The sequence below is a fragment of the Homo sapiens genome, chromosome 2 (assembly GCF_000001405.40).
Source record: "Homo sapiens chromosome 2, GRCh38.p14 Primary Assembly".
Lineage (NCBI taxonomy): Eukaryota > Metazoa > Chordata > Mammalia > Primates > Hominidae > Homo > Homo sapiens.
Genome location: NC_000002.12, coordinates 222,502,949 through 222,519,115, shown reverse-complemented (window position 1 = coordinate 222,519,115; position 16,167 = coordinate 222,502,949). Strand labels below are relative to the sequence as shown.

At 39.9% G+C, this 16,167-nt stretch overlaps 1 protein-coding gene and 1 pseudogene across 3 annotated transcripts in view, besides 1 other annotated feature; one reads left to right on the top strand and one right to left on the bottom strand.

The window, feature by feature from the left end:
* The window catches only part of SGPP2 (sphingosine-1-phosphate phosphatase 2), a 138,634-nt gene that overhangs the window by 43,506 nt on the left and 78,961 nt on the right, over positions 1–16,167 (bottom strand). The gene's annotated exons all lie outside the window — the stretch shown is intronic.
* Positions 73–665: an enhancer, noted in NCBI's record as "OCT4-NANOG hESC enhancer chr2:223383170-223383762 (GRCh37/hg19 assembly coordinates)". NCBI's record gives its function as "activates a minimal SCP1, AML or CMV promoter by ChIP-STARR-seq in naive H9 embryonic stem cells {active_cell/tissue: H9 hESC(naive)}" and the evidence as "EXISTENCE:reporter gene assay evidence [ECO:0000049][PMID:30033119]".
* Positions 14,280–15,197, top strand: GAPDHP49 (glyceraldehyde 3 phosphate dehydrogenase pseudogene 49; annotated as a pseudogene).

Below are 16,167 nucleotides of genomic sequence, written 5' to 3'. Positions count from 1 at the left end.
AGCTCGTGATGGATGGCATTACCTTGCTTGGAACAAAACCCGCTATGAAGAACTATTTCAAAATAATTTTGGTTAGTCAGCTGGCCCACTATGAAGAACTATTTCAAAATAATTTTGATTAGTCAGCTGGATTGCTGTAGGAGTTCCCACATTCTTGTGCTTTCTTTCAACTCCTTGAGTTGCCGGTTAATTCCGTGCATAATTCCAGCAAACCCAGTAACCCCCTGAGAAGGTGTTGCATATGTGTTTGTGCTTCACTGCCACTTTGCTCTGGGCTAAAAACCAAGAACCACTCCCTGTGCACAGCAGGCCAAATCCACAGGCTATAAAGCCTCAGCGACAATTACTCTGAATTCCATAGCTGCAATTTCGAATCAGACTTTGAAACTTAACTTCTTTACCATCCACTTAACCACCAGGAACTACTCTCCTGGAAATCAGCTCACTCTTTTTATGTTTCTGCCTCCCTCCTGTGAACCTGTAAAAACCACAACTAACTGACCATTATCTGGGGAGTTGAAAAACTGGCAGGTATTACCGACTACTGGGAATTTCTCAGAAGCTGCTTGAAATATACTTCTCAGTCCTACTTCTTCCTCACTCACCAACATAAACAAAATATCACAGGCATAACTACTAATGCTAGTTCCCTCAAAAATACTTAAAATCCTCACATCCTAACAGAGAGGATAAGGGTAAAAAAATACTTAAAATCATCAGAAACAGGAAACCTTAGAATCATAAAAATAATGATTGGGTGACTCTCCTTCAGATAAAGTTAAATTTCTTTGAGGTTCATGAGTTCCTTTGTCTTCATTTATATTTCACCTTCTATGTTTGAAGAATGTTTTGTGGAATTAGGAAAATCATTCATTTTATTTAAAAATACTACGGCTGCATATTATGTCTCATTAATAATTTTCAAATAACAATGACTGTGATCACAGCTCTCTTTAAACAGGAGAAAATAGAGCTACATTTTTCAAGTTGCAGAGGAAAAGTATCACTCTCAGAAGGTTGTATCCTGTTTCTGGCATTGCCATTTGTGACAATGATGCTATGATGAGCCAAGCCTTGTATTAGGTCCCCATCCTTGAGTAGGGAAAATGGTGACACAATAAGAAGATTTCAGAGGATAATGTGAAAAGGCTTTGAAAAACAATCCACAGAATTCTATGAGTATGTGTACATATACAGAAAACTCTGGTTCAACCTGGATGGCCAGAGAACCTGGGGCTGGTTAAAGTGAAATAGGAGAGTTCCCTGACCCCCTTCACAGGACGTGCAACAGGGGTGTGGCTCGTCTGTTTGGCTGCAGCTGCTGCTCAAACCCCTTATAGGAGGGGAAGCACACAGACGGGCAGGGTGCAGGGAGCCTGGGCAAATGCTTTTGGGGCTCTGGCCCCACGTTAGGAGTCTAGGGATGTGTGTCTGCAACTCTCAAAGCCCCAGTGGGCATGCTACAGTGCTCTTTTAGCTCTGCCATCACAGACAGCTTAAGTGTTAACCAGCTCAGTGCCATCTTGGCACCTGGGTTCTTGTCCAGTGTCCAGGAAGGATCAGGTCACAGGGCCTTGAAGGATGGTGAATACAGGGGTTTTATTGAGTGGTGAAGGTGGCTCTCTGTGGAATGGATGGGGAGTTGGAAGGGGGATGTGGTGGGAAAATGATCTTCCCCTGGAGTTTGGTTATCCAGCAGCCGATCTCCTCTCCGACTGTCCCCAGCGGAACTCCTCTCGATGTTCAGATGTTCTTCCTCTCCTCCCCTTCTCTGCTGTGCCATTCTGCTGCTCTTCTGCTCTTCTGTTTTTCTGCCTGTGGAGTCTGGGATTTGGGGTTTATATGGGTACAGGATAGGGGGGTGAGAAAACAGGAATGCCTGTTCCTATTTAGGGCAGTGGGTTTCCAGGCTGGAGGGTGGGGCCTTTGCCAGGGGACCACCCTCTTCTACCCAGTATTTCCCTGTCTTCTGTCTGTATCAAAAGGAAGATGGTTTAACTAAGGGATGGGTAAAGAAGCATCCAGGTTGCAAGAACAGCCAGAGGAAAGGCTTGGGGAAGTGATGCTGGATAATAGGTAGTGGGAGCTCCTAGGAGGTTAGGACCACTAGAGTTTAAACTGTGAGGCACACTGCTACACATCCACTAGAAGGGCTAAGTTTCTCATTTCCTAAATGAAAATAAAATAGTGCTCATCTCCTAGATTTGTTAGGAGAATTAAATGAGAAAATGTATGCAAAACACTTAGTATAGTACCTGGCACGTAGAAAGTGACCAATATAAATTACTATAATAGTCAGTATTTATATTTTTATTAAACAAATATTTATTGGGGACCTACTGCTATGGTCTAAGTGTGTTCCCCAAAATTCACAAGACTGACACATCAAGTGTTGGTGAGGACGTGGAGCACCTGAACCTCTCATATGCCTCTGGAGGAAACAAAAATGGTACCACCACTTTGGAAAATAGTTTGGTAGTTTCTTAAAAAGTCTACCTGTATACTTATATGATAAGTTTCTTAACATATATAAGTTTCTTAACATATACTTATCATATGATCCAGCCATCCCACTCTTAGGTATTTGCCCAGGAGAAACAAAAGCAATATGACCAAATACTCATATATGAATGTTCATAACAGCTCTTTTTTATAATAGCCCCAAACTGGAAACAACCCAATTTACCATTAACAGGTAAGTACACAAATTGTGGTATAATCACACAACTGAATACTACTCAGCAACAAAAATGAATAAACTATTGACATATGCTTACAACGTGGATGAATCTCAAAATAATTATGCTGAATGAAGAGAAGCCAGACCAAGACAAATGACAAAGTAAACAGTACATACTACATGATTTGTTTACGTAAAATTCTTGGAAATGTAAACTACTTTATAATGACAGAAAGCAAGTAAGTGGTTGCTAGGGAGGGGAAAAGAAATTACAAATGGGCATAAGAAAACTTTAGGGGGTGATAAATATCATCTTGATTGTGGTAATGATTTCAGGGATAGGTACCTATGTTAAAATGTGTGAACTTGTATATATTTTTATTTTTTTGAGACTGAGTCTCGCTCTGTTGCCTGGGCTAGAGTGCAGTGGCATAATCTTGGCTCACTGCAACCTCCGCCTCCCAGGTTCAAGCAATTCTTATGCCTCAGCCTCCCAAATAGCTGGGACTACAGTCACGCGCTACCACACCTGGATACTTTTTGTATTTTTAGTAGAGATGGGGTTTCACCATGTTGGCCAGGCTGGCCAGGCTGGCCTTGAACTCCTGACCTCAGGTGATCCGCCTGCCTTGGCCTCCCAAAGTGCTGGGAATATAGGCATGAGCCACCACGCTCAACCCTCAACTTGTATATTTTAAACATGTGTGAACTCTGTGACTACACTAAAAATTATTGAATTACATGCTTTAAATGGGTGAATTGTATAGTACGTGAATTATACCTTGATAAAGCTGTTAAATATGTTCAGGCTGGGCACGGTGGCTCACGCCTGTAATCCCAGCACTTTGGGAGGCCAAGGCAGGTGGATCATCTGAGGTCGGTAGTTTGAGACCAGCCTGACCAATATGGTGAAACCCCGTCTCTACTAAAAATACAAAAATTAGCTGGGTGTGGTGGTGGGTGCCTGTAGTCCCAGCTACTCAGGAGGCTGAGGCAGCAGAATCGCTTGAACCCGGGAGGCGGAGGTTGCAATGAGCCAAGATCATGCCACTGCGCTCCAGCCTGGGTGACAGAGCGAGACTCCATCCCAGAAAAAGAAAAAAAAAGTGGTTCAATATTTTTCTGAAATGTGAGAAGCAGATGTTTGGGGAGGACCTGGTGATGAGGCACCATGTTGTAGAATGGATCTTTAGCCTACTGGGAGATCCTGGGCAGAGGCCTGGCCTGACCTGATCTGCATGTCTGATGGCACCCTTTGATACCAAGAGTAGAGTGGGGATGAGGACATCAAGACTTGAAGGAAGGACATCAGTTAAGATAATATTGCAAAATCCAGGTAACAGATGCAGTATGATGTAAGTCAGCAGTAGGGCAGAAGAGAGATTTGAAGAATGTGGTTTCTTTTTTTTTTTTTTAATGAAAGAATGCTGAATGGGTTGATGAATGTACAAAGAATAACAACAGGGAGAAATTACATATGGAAGAGAGGAGAAAGAAATGGATGGAATATGGACTCAGAGGTGATCAGGCATGTGGAAGTGGTTTTGAAGTTGAGAAGGGCTCAGCCCCTGGTCCTCAGCAGGGATGGATGCTCTCCTGGGGGACATTCTGGTCAGTGCAGTGATTGCAGTCACTATTGGCATTTAGAGGGAGGAGGCCAGGGATGCAACATGCCTTTCAATGCACAGGACAGTGCCACTCTATGAAAACCAGTTTTTGTGTCTAACATGACTCTTAAGTGTTCTGCCAGACATTCATGTAGATGAAAAATCCATCTGTAATCCTCTGAGTTGAGAGCCTAACTCTCTTTTACAAGTAAACACTAAATATTTTCTTGCAGGTTATGAACGTACACTGAAGTTTCCAAGGCCATAACTACTGTGTAGACTGAGAGAAAAATGAACTTTGGTTTATTTGGAACTTTATCAAGAACTAGCCAGGTGTAGTGAGTGGCTCATGCCTGTAATCCCAGCACTGTGGGAGGCAGAGGCAGGAGGATCACTTGAGGACAGGAATTTGAGACCAGCCTAGGCTACATAGTGAGACTCCATCTCTATTTTATTTTAAAATTAAACATTTTTTAAAAAAAGAATTGTTCATCATTTGGAGAAATCAGGTTATCATCAAGGGAAATGCTGATTATTGTATTTGAGACTTCAACACTGCATATCTGTGTCCCAGCTACCATCATTGGCACATTCATAGTGATACTGCTTCATAAATAGTAAAGCAGGTTCAAGGCTCCTACTATCCTATGAAATAAATAGCCTAGTGTAGACATGTTACAACATATACTTATTTTAAAAGTTATTTTTATTATAAAGCACATTATTTAAAAAATTGTATGTGTAAGTAAGTCATATTATCTATGAATTTTAAGAAAGTAAAAGGAATATTACAATATATTTAGAATATAACAGGAGGTGCTATTATTTTAAATTTAGTGAGCCAGACACAAAAGATCACACATTGTATGATTCCATTTATATAGAATGTCCAGAATAAGCAACTCCATAGAGATGGAAAATTGACTAGTGGATATGTAGGGCTTAGAAGCCACAAGTCTGAAATCAAGGGGTCTGCCAGGCCACACTCATTCTGGAAGTTTTAGGGGAGGGTCCTTTCTTTGCCTCTTCCAGTTTCTGGTAGCTGTAGGTACTCTTTGACCTGTGGCCACATCACTCTGATCTCCACCTCTGCGGTCACATTGCTTCCTCCTCTTCTATCTCTTCTTCTGCCTGTCTCATCTCTCCCTCTGCTTTTTTCTTATAATGGAACTTGTCATTGGATTGGTCTAACCAGATAATCCAGGATGATCTTACCATCTCAACATCCTAAACTTAATTACATCTACAAGGACCATTTTTCCCAAAACAGCAATGTTCACAGATTCTAGGGATTCGAATGTGGGGATATCTTTTTGGAGGCCACTACTTAACCAACCACAGTAAATATTTAGTGAGTGAATCATATGGACCAGGTACTGTGCTGGTTTGGGGGAATACCACTGAGAATAAGATAGACGAGATCATTTTTCCCGCACAGCATAAAAAATGAAACATTAGCAAAAAGTCTGCTTAGCTCCTTTGCATGTTATTTGTCCAATAAAATGGAATCATCATGCTTTAAGAAAAAAGAAGTACTGGGTCTGGCAGAATTGAATAGCTTTGTCTAAGATTTAAAAACATTACTATAAATGTTCAACATCACATGACATTAGGGAATTCCAACTTAAAACAACAATGAAATACAACTACACACCTATTAGAATGGCTAAGTCCAAAACACTGATAATACCAAATGCTGACAAGGATGTGGAACAATAGGAACTCTCATTCATTGCTTATAGGAATGCAAAATGGTACAGCCACTTTGGAAGATGGTATGGCAGTTTCTTATAACACTAAACATACTCTTACCATATGACTCAGATGTCACACTCTTTGGTGTTCATCCAAGTTAACTGAAAACTTACCTCCACAAAAAACCTGTGCAAGGATGCTTATAGCAGCTTTATTTTTAATTGTCAAAACTTGGAAGCAACCAAGATGTCCTTCAGTAGGTAAATGAATAAATAAACTGTGGTTCATGTAGACAATGGAATATTACTCAGCACTAAAAAATGAGCCATCGAGCCATGACAAGATATGGAGGAGCCTAAATATATATCAGTAAGTGAAAGAAGCCTGTCTGCAAAGGGAACGTACTGTATGATTCCAACTATATGACATTCTAGAAAAGGCAAAACCATGAAGACAGTAAAAAAGATCAGTGGCTTCCAGGGACTGAGGAGAGGGAGGGGTGAACAGGCAGAGCACAGAGAAATTTTAGATAGTGAAACTATTCTGTATGACACTATAAGGATAGACACGTCATTCTACATTTGTCAAAACCCATAAACATACAGCACCAAGAATGAACCCTAATGTACACTATAGACTTTGAGAAATAATGATATGTCAATGTAGGGCCATGGATTGTACCAAATGTATCACTGTGGCGGGGAATTTTGGTAGTGGGGGAGGTTGTGTGTATGTGGCGTGGGGAGAAGGTATATGAGAACTCTATACTTTCCACTCAACTTTGCTGTGAACCTAAAACTTCTCTAAAAAAAATAAAAGTTTAGAACAGGCATGGTGGTTCACGCCTGTAATCCCAGTACTTTGGGAGGCCGAGGCAGGCGGATCACGAGGTCAGGAGATTGAGACCATCCTGGCTAACACGGTGAAACCCCATCTCTACCAAAAATACAAAAAATTAGCTGGGCGTGGTGGCGGGCGCCTGTAGTTCCAGCTACTTGGGAGGCTGAGGCAGAATGGCGTGAACCCGGGAGGAGGAGCTTGCAGTGAGCCAAGATCACACCACTGCACTCCAGCCTGGGCGACAGAGCAAGACTCTGTCTCAAAATAAATAAATAAATAAATAAATAAAAGTTTATTTTAAAAAGCCACTGTGGCGGGCCAGGCATGGTGGCTCATACCTGTAATCCCAGCACTTTGGGAGGCCAAGGAAGGTGGATCACTTGACCCAGGAGTTTGAGACCAGCCTGGGCAACATGGTGAAACCCTGTCTCTACAAAAAAATACAAAAACTTTCCGGGTGTGGTGGGGAACACCTGTAGTCCCAGCTACTCAGGAGGCTGTGGTGGGAGGATCACCTGAGCCTCGGAGGTCAAGACCGCAGTGAGCCATGATGCACTCAAGCCTGGGTGACAGACCAAGACCCTGTCTCAAAAGAATAAAAATTACTGTGGCAGCAGAGAACTATTTCTTCATTTAATTATCAGTTAAAGAGTATAACGATTAACTCAACGTGTGGCTTGCCCTAAGTGGAGGGCTTTTCTCTGTATTGTTGAAGAGGCCACTTTCCAAAAAGGACCCAATTAAGTTCCATCATCCATCATACTTCTTTGGGTTGAGGCCCTAAAGTCCTGTGCATGAAAGCAAAAACCCATAAGGAGGCAACACGGGAAGTAATTACAGACCATTAACACCTTAGTAAACTGGCTAGGGGCCCCCACATGGTATTGAAGGATGGCATGGAGGTCCCGTAGGTTTTCACGAAGGGGAATTAGCCTATTTTCTTCTTCTGCTCTGAATGCAGGATAAATGTAATATATAGATAGAAAGAAAATCTGGTTCTCTGGATAGTCGACCATTCACCCCAGGCAGACAAAAGGTTTTCCAGGGAACCAATGCGGTCAATATGAAACTTGTCCTTACAGTGTGGAAAAGCTTCCAGCATGGGCTCTGTTCTGGATGGCTGGGCTCATATGGGGACGGCAGAGAAAACGGCACTTTTTCTCTTAGTGTAGTGGCCCTTTCTGGTTATTACAGTAAAAAATGACAGTGTGTACCATGTCTAACACATTTCCAATTAGCCAGACTTTATTCTTTACACTAGCATAAATAACACCTAAATAATTTTGAAAACAAAATATTTTGAAATAACATTATTACTAGTAAACCAGCCACAGGATTTTAAAAAGCCAAGCCACACTTCCATTTTTGGCCCACATTAATATAAGACGCTTCTCCTCCTAGCTTCTTCTGAATGTCTGCCTTCAAACTTTTCTCTCTGTTAACATCTTCCATTCCCTGAAGGAAAACAGGACATGATGAACTGTTTTACACTTTTGTTTACATTTTTGTATACACTACGGAGCTGCCCCTGTTTGTCTTCATCCCCGCAAAATACCCTCATCTGAAAAGAGCAAAGGCTCCATATGATCATAATAAAACCTAAGTCCTCTGCAGGATGAACGGAGCACCAAGAGGCTCTTTTCAAATTACACCCACCATATTAAAAAAAATTGAAAGATCCCAATATCTTTTTTCCTTCCCTTGGCTACACTCATAGCCCCCTCCACCATGGAGAAATAGCAAAAGTGATGTGCTGTTAACTAACAGGAGCATATGATTATTCCTCATGTCTCATGGGGTAGAAACACTGCAAACTGCTGGGATTTACAGTCTATCTACGGGTTTGTTTCCAAAAAGTCAGGAACTGGTTATGTCATTGACTGTTGGAGGCAAGAGAACAATGAGCTGTAACCCAAAGACCACAGCCTCTCTACCAGTACGTACCTATCCTGTTTCTTAATTTATCCAAATGCATCTCATTCCCTTTTTTTCTCAGCTTACCAGTAAGATGACTTGGATAAACAGACACCAGACACTCATCCATTCCACTCCTAGGTGTATCCCTAAGAGAATGGAAAGCATGTGTCCTCACTGGAACTTGTATGTAAATGTTGTTAGCATTTGGTAGCCTCATTCTTCTCAGTTTCCAAAAAGTTTAAACAACCCAAATGTCCATCGACTGATAGGCAGATAAACAAACTGTGCTATATATTTACAATGGAATATTATTTGGCCATAGAAAGAAAGAAAGTACTGGTGAACACAGTAATGCTGAGTGAAATCAGAAGTCAAACACGAAGGACACACATTGTATGATTCCATTTACATGAAATGTTCAGAAGAGGCAAATCCATAGAGATAGAAAGTAAATTAGCCCCACTGCCTACGGTAGTGTGTGCTAATGGATATTGGGGTTCCTTTTCAGGGGGTAAAAATGTTCTGAAGTGAGATAGTGGTGATGGTTACACAACTCTGTGAATATGCTGAATTGTATACTTTAAAAGGTTGACTATTATCATATGTGGATTATATCTCAATTTTAAAAAGAAAGAGAAATGAGACATCAAGATAAGTCCTGGTGTACCTTTTCTATGTGTTCTTGAAGTCTCTTGTTCCAAAATGTTATTGCAATGCCTTCACATATTGATTTCAGAATAGAAGAAGAAGCAAACTATTAGAACTATTAATAGTCTTTTCTTCAAAAATCCTGTTCAATTCTGCCCGTCCACAGGGCACTGAAGTGAGTACATACCAGAGAGCTGCTGAAAATCCACTACTCACAACCATAAGTACACAGGATTCATTTTCAGAACAACTTTTAGCTTTGGAGGCTTTCTTTAAAAGCTACATTATATTTATTAATGCCTAAAATATTGCTCTTATCAAAATTAGTATATCATTATATGTCATAACAATTATACTGATTTTTTTTTGTTAATACATAATAGTTATACATCTTTTGGGGGGACATGTGATATTCTGACACATGCATACAATGTGTAATGATCAAACCAGGACAACTGGGACACCCATCACCCCAAACATTCACCTCTTCTTTATGTTGGGTCATCATGGAAGCTTCTCAAATCAACAGTCTTACAAAAAAGAGATTGACTGCACTAGATTGTGTTTTTGTCTATTCAATGTTCAGTCTTTTTTTTTTCTCCTTGGAATACAAAGTGCTCTGTGGTCTCCTATTTAGCGTCTGGGAGTGAATTAAAAGCAATTCTTGGTGATGGTTATTTGGAAACACTCTAAAGGCTACTGTTTACCATCCAGTGTGAAAAGCTATTTCCAACTGGTGAATAGCCACTCATACTTCTGGCATTATTTTTATTTTTTAAATTCAGAGCTTTTTTGCTTTTTTTGCTGGATGTGATGTGTGTGTGTGTAACGCTGGGAGAAGCAATTTTAATTTCAAACTAGTACAGTGCTACTCATGTCTAAACCACCAAAACAAAGCAAGCACCATAAATCATAGAAGATAATCAGCAAACTGACATTTATATATTTCAAGTTTTGTAAAAATAGAGATGAAATAACTAAAGCACAAAGAGTAGATGAGAAAAATTAAGTTACAACATTTTCTCATTCTTTCCAATGTTCCCTCTTTTTAAAGCTCAGCTCTGCTTTTGAAATTTTTGAAGACAAACACTAAAGGTACAAAGATTGTTAAATCACAGATGTATGTATATGCCTAGGAAAGCCACTTTCCACCTCTTGAGCCTCCCTTTCATTATAAGAAAGGAGTTGGGTTAAATAATAACTGACATTTGTGCAATGATTGTTTTTAGTGTATACTTTCACAGACATTATCTATTTCAATGTCCACATCATCCTTATTTTACAGATAAGGAAATTGATGCATAGACAAGGTGAGTATCTTGTCAACAATAATGATGCCAGTGTAGAGAAGCTGGACTTGAATTTGGTTTTCTGATTCCAAATTTTATCATTGTTTCACCACACCACGCCGTCTAGCATCTCACAAACTCACTACCGAATCTAAGTGAATTGAGGGCATATGTATAATACATGAGAATAGTTATCTATGCTTTAAAAACCCAAACTCTATTATCTTAATTCTTTAGATCCATCCGGAGCTCAATAGAGGACGCTGAGTGTCCTTGGGGCTGAGAGATTACGATATCACATCTGATGAGAAAATTGCTTATCCCTACCATCCCACCAATGAATAGTGCAGAAAGCTAGGATCAGTGTCCTTTACTTGCCATTAGATGGACATCACATCCAAATGACTCCCACTGAGGGAACGAGTGTCTTCAGTCCTAGGAAATGTAGAGCACACTCAAACATGAAAATCATGCATAAGCTCACCCTCCTTCAAACAAATGAACAGTCAGTCAACCACGGTCAAAATCTGAGAGCAAAGCTAAATGTTCATGACAGGACACGGTTAAATAAATTATGTAACTGTTAAAAAATTATGAGATATACTGTTAAATGAGAAAGCAAGAGGCTGAAGAGTATATTTTCCTTCCATTTATATTTTGAAAAGGTATTTACATACCAGCGCATATAGGTACATGGGAAACTGCATGGTAGATTCACAAGGGGATTAGAACTGAGATCTGGAGTGGGCAGGAGACATGCTTTGCAAACAGACCTTGTGTGATGTTTCAATTTTTCATGCAAAAACAAATAACAAAAATTTACTTCTGATAGCAACAGAAGCATTGCTAAGAAAACCCTTTTCTACTAGATTCCTCCCTCACATTGCTATAAATTTTAATTGTCAGTCCTACTGACCATGAAAAGACTAAGAAATAATATTAAAAGATCAAAACCTTTAGCTTTACAAACCCCTGATGGCAACAATGCAATACATGTTAGTCACATGCCAGGTCCAACTTTCTCATCTGATTAAAACCATGAACGATTCCTGTCTCTAAATGTGATACCACAAATCTTAAAGATAGTCTCAGAATATCCAATCTGGAGAGAAGTCCCTCTTCAGTTTTGACCGATTGATTACTAACCAAAGACTCTTTCTTCTTCTGCTTGCATCCAAAACAGTAAAACCTGCACCAGGACTTTTTCATAGGTTAAAACTCTAACAAACTCAGGAAAATCAAACCAAGCCATTTGCGCTAACAGCTGAATTCTATACCAATCATCTTCACTAAATCACCAAGCATTATCATTCCTCTTTATTAATGACTAGTTCTTTAAAATTTTCAAGATGGAGTCAGAATAGTTTAAGTGGAATATGAGTGGACCTACACTGGGACACTTTCTGTGGGTCTCCTACCAAGCTGGGGTTGGAGGTTTTCTCTGTGCTCCCAGATCACTCTGCCCAAGTCTTTTTCAAACACAGTCACAAACCACCTTCCAGATTCTGCCACACTCATGGTCCACCCATGTGATTATTTCTTTTTTTTAATATATATATATTTATTATACTTTAAGTTCTAAGCCATGTTATTATTTCTTTAACACTGGTCTTTAAATTGGCTTACTTCCTTTTAGTGAAACACTTGTGAGATAATGATCTGATCGTTAGTTATGTTTTGTAATATACAACTGACCTTTGTGCAACTTGAGGGTTGTGAGTACCAGTGCCCTGTGCAGTTGAAATCCATGCATAACTTTTGACTTCTCCAAAACTTAACTACTAATAGCATTCTGTTGACTGGAAGCCTTACCAACAACATAAACGACTGATGAACACATATTTTGTTTGTTATATGTATTATATACTGTATTCTTGCAATAAAGTAAGCTAAGCTAAAAAAGTTATTAAGAAATCATAAAAAAGAGAAAATACATTTCCAGTACTGTGTTGTGTTTATCAGCGCATCAACTGTTTACAAGATGAATCATCTGTATGAAATGGCGGCAATCACAGAGGCAGACTTCAACCTACGGTACATATCAAGTAATTTCATAGCTTTTCTTGTAATTGCATAGCTTTTTTCTGCTTCTTGGCAGCACTTCCAGCATCACTAGTGCACTTTGAATGGGTCCCACAGTGTTATTCAAAGTTTACAGTGTTGCACTAAACATGATGAAAAATACATCAGAACTTTAAGAGATCACTTTTTACTGTGATGTAATTTCCTGGAGAGACAACTGTTCACGTGGAGGTGATTAGCGTTATGCAGTGTTTTAAGTGGATAATCAGAACACTTGTGCTCACTACAATAACAAGAGGTAGCTATGAAATTATTACAGTAGGTGCAGCATGCAGTACAATTAATTTATGCCATTATAATTTAATACTGCATCTTTACATGTGTTTAATTTCCCTAAACTGTGACTGGCGTCATATATAGTTTGATGTGTTCATGTGCATAAGTTTTAGTAAATTTTAACTACTTTTTTTTTTTTTTTTTTTTGAGACAGAGTTTCACTCAGCAGCCCAGGCTAGAGTGCAGTGGTACAATCACAGTTCACTGCAGCCTCGACCTCCAGGGCTCAGATGATTCTCCTTCCTCAGCCCCCCAAGTAGCTGGGACTACAGGTACCTGCTGCCAAACCCAGATAATTTTTGTATTTTTTTGTAGAGATGGGGTTTTGCCACGTTTCCTAGGCTGGTCTTGAACTTCTGAGCTCAAGCAATCTACCCTCCTCAGCCTACCAAAGTGCTGGGATTACAGGTGTGAGCCACCAGGCCCGGCCTAATTTTTATTTTAACTTTTCATAATAGATTCATGTATATTTTATGGTAGTAAATAATAACATACATAGTATTGACATATGTTTTATGCATTCATGACATACCTTTTTATTAACTTTTCCAATATTTCTAGGCTACATCTTTCATCTGTGAGTTTTTCCAAATTGTTGCAAATTTACAGAAAAGTTTTCAATATATTTATTTTTAAAAATTCATGTATAAGTGGACCCACTTGATTTAACCCATGTTGTTTAAAGATCAACTGTATATTCCATCCAAGATGTACATATTTAAACTAAACCAAAACAAGCTCATCTCACATACTGGGCACTTTGGGAATCATAGTTGTTCTTTTACAATTATGCAGTTACATATATCCACTCACCTTCATACGATTATCTCTAGTTTAGATGATGGTTGTTTCATCTCCCAGCTCTTGCAATAAGCCGAGGTCCTAAATGAATGACTGAGAGAATGCATGCATGTGTGGGTGCCTGTAAGCAAGCAGTAAATATGAATATCTCTCACTATCCAAATTTTTGCTCTCTGGAATCTGAAGCTGAATGTATTTAGATAAACTTTTGTATAAATTCTTTGCTATCAAAACTCATGTTACTTGCTATCTGAAATTCAGGAACCAAATGGCTTTGAACAACTTGTAAGCCTTGCTATCCAACCTTGCTTGCTTCCTGGACTTGGCCTAAAATGTATTGCTTTCATTTTCGTATTTAAAACCCATGCAGCTCTCTCAGTTCCTCTCCACTAAATAGAAGCCTCACCTTTTTTGCAGTGCCAGCCTCCTCACCTTGTCATGACTGTAAAAGCTGGATTAAATGGGCTTGTCTATATTGGGTGCCTAGTTACCAGGCTGCTTCCAAAGTGGATACTGTGGCCATCAGTGACTCCTTCCTTGACCTCAGCAATAGGGACTACGTGTCCAGAAATGATTCTACCCATGGCAAGTTCAACGGCATCATCAAGGCTGAGAACAGTAAGTGCAGTCAATTGAAATCCTACCTTCATTTTCCAAGTTCAAGATCCCCCCAACATCAAATGGGGTAACATGATGTTGAATACATCATAGAGCCCACCGCACTCTTTACCGTCTTAGACAAGGCTAGCAATCACTTGAAAGGTGGAAGCAAAGGGTTATTATTCCTATCACCTGCGCCAATGCTGCTGTGCTCAGAATGGGAGAGAACTGTGAAGATGACAACTCCTTCGAAATTGTCAGCAATGTCACCTGCATACCAAGTGCTTGACTCTCCTGGCAGAAGTCATCGATGATGACTGTGCTAACGTGGAGGAATCTCAGACCACAGTCCACGCCATCACTGCTCCCCACAGATCATGATTACTCCTCCAGCAAGCTGTAGTGTCATGTCAGTGGTCATTATCTCTCAATCCCTGGCCCTGCCAAAACTGTGTGCAAGACAACCCCTGAGTTGAACGGAGAGTTCACTGATTTGGCTTTCCAAGTCCCCACCGCTGGTGTGGAAAGTGTGTTGAGAATGAGATTTGCCATCTGGAGAAAGGTGCCAAATATAATGACATCAAGGAGGCAATGAAGCAAGCATCAAGGGCCCCTGGAAGAGCATCCCGGGCTACATTCAGGACCAGTTGGTTGCCTTTGTGACAACCACTATCCCATTTTTGATCTGGGGAGGGTATTGCTCTCAATGATCACTTAATCAAGCTGTTTTTTTGGTATGACCATAAATCTGGCCATAGGAATTGACTGGGGGGATCTATCTTATGGTCTGTGTGACCTCTGAGGTGTAAGAGTCCTGGAGCACTCACCCCAGCAAAAGTATGAGAGGGAGAGTGAGGCCCTCGGTCACTGAGGAATTCTTGCCCCAATTCCACCCCAACACATTGAGAACCTTCCTTTCTCTCTATACAGGTCCCATCCAAGACCCATGAAGAAGGAAGGACCTGAGAGTCTTCCCTTGTTGAATACCATTGCTGCCATCAAGAAAATTTCCACTGTGTACAATGCGGGTGCAGTTAAGAAAATAAAACACATGGAGACACATGAAATAGACATTATAATCACTGGCATTATAATCCTACACACTATACTGAAAAAAAAGCATGATGGCCTGTAATTTATACATTGATTCAAAGCAATTATTACCAGGGACTTGAGATCTTTGTCATTTCGCCATGGGAACAGCCCTACAAGTGGGTCTCACATGTCCCTTGAAGGTGGATTTGAATACTGAAAGAAAGTGAACCTATACAAATAAATCTACGCTCTTAACACTTTAAAACAAGAATTCACCATGCTCTCTTCCCTTTATTTTAGCCTTAATATGTTTGAAATATTTCATAACATATTTAATAAAATTTAAATTCATCGTCATTTTAACATATAGTTTTAGCTACAACCGAAGGACTTTCTGATCATCCCTCGTCCTTAGCAACAACGCTCTTGGTTTTCACCCTTTTTGGTTCTATTATTTGGTTGTTTTTCCTGAATGGGCTACATAATCTAAATAGAGATCTTTTTGTCAGGAACATACAGTTTCAGTATTTCCTTAGGCCTCCCAAAGCTCAATGTTCAACAGCAGGTGATTAGAGTAAAAGGATAGTCTAGGTGATGTCCTCAGAATGGGTAACTTTTCTTCAATTAGAAATAAACCAGTTATACATTACTTAACAACCAGCCTAAAACGAAGACCTAGAATACTTCAAGTTCTTAT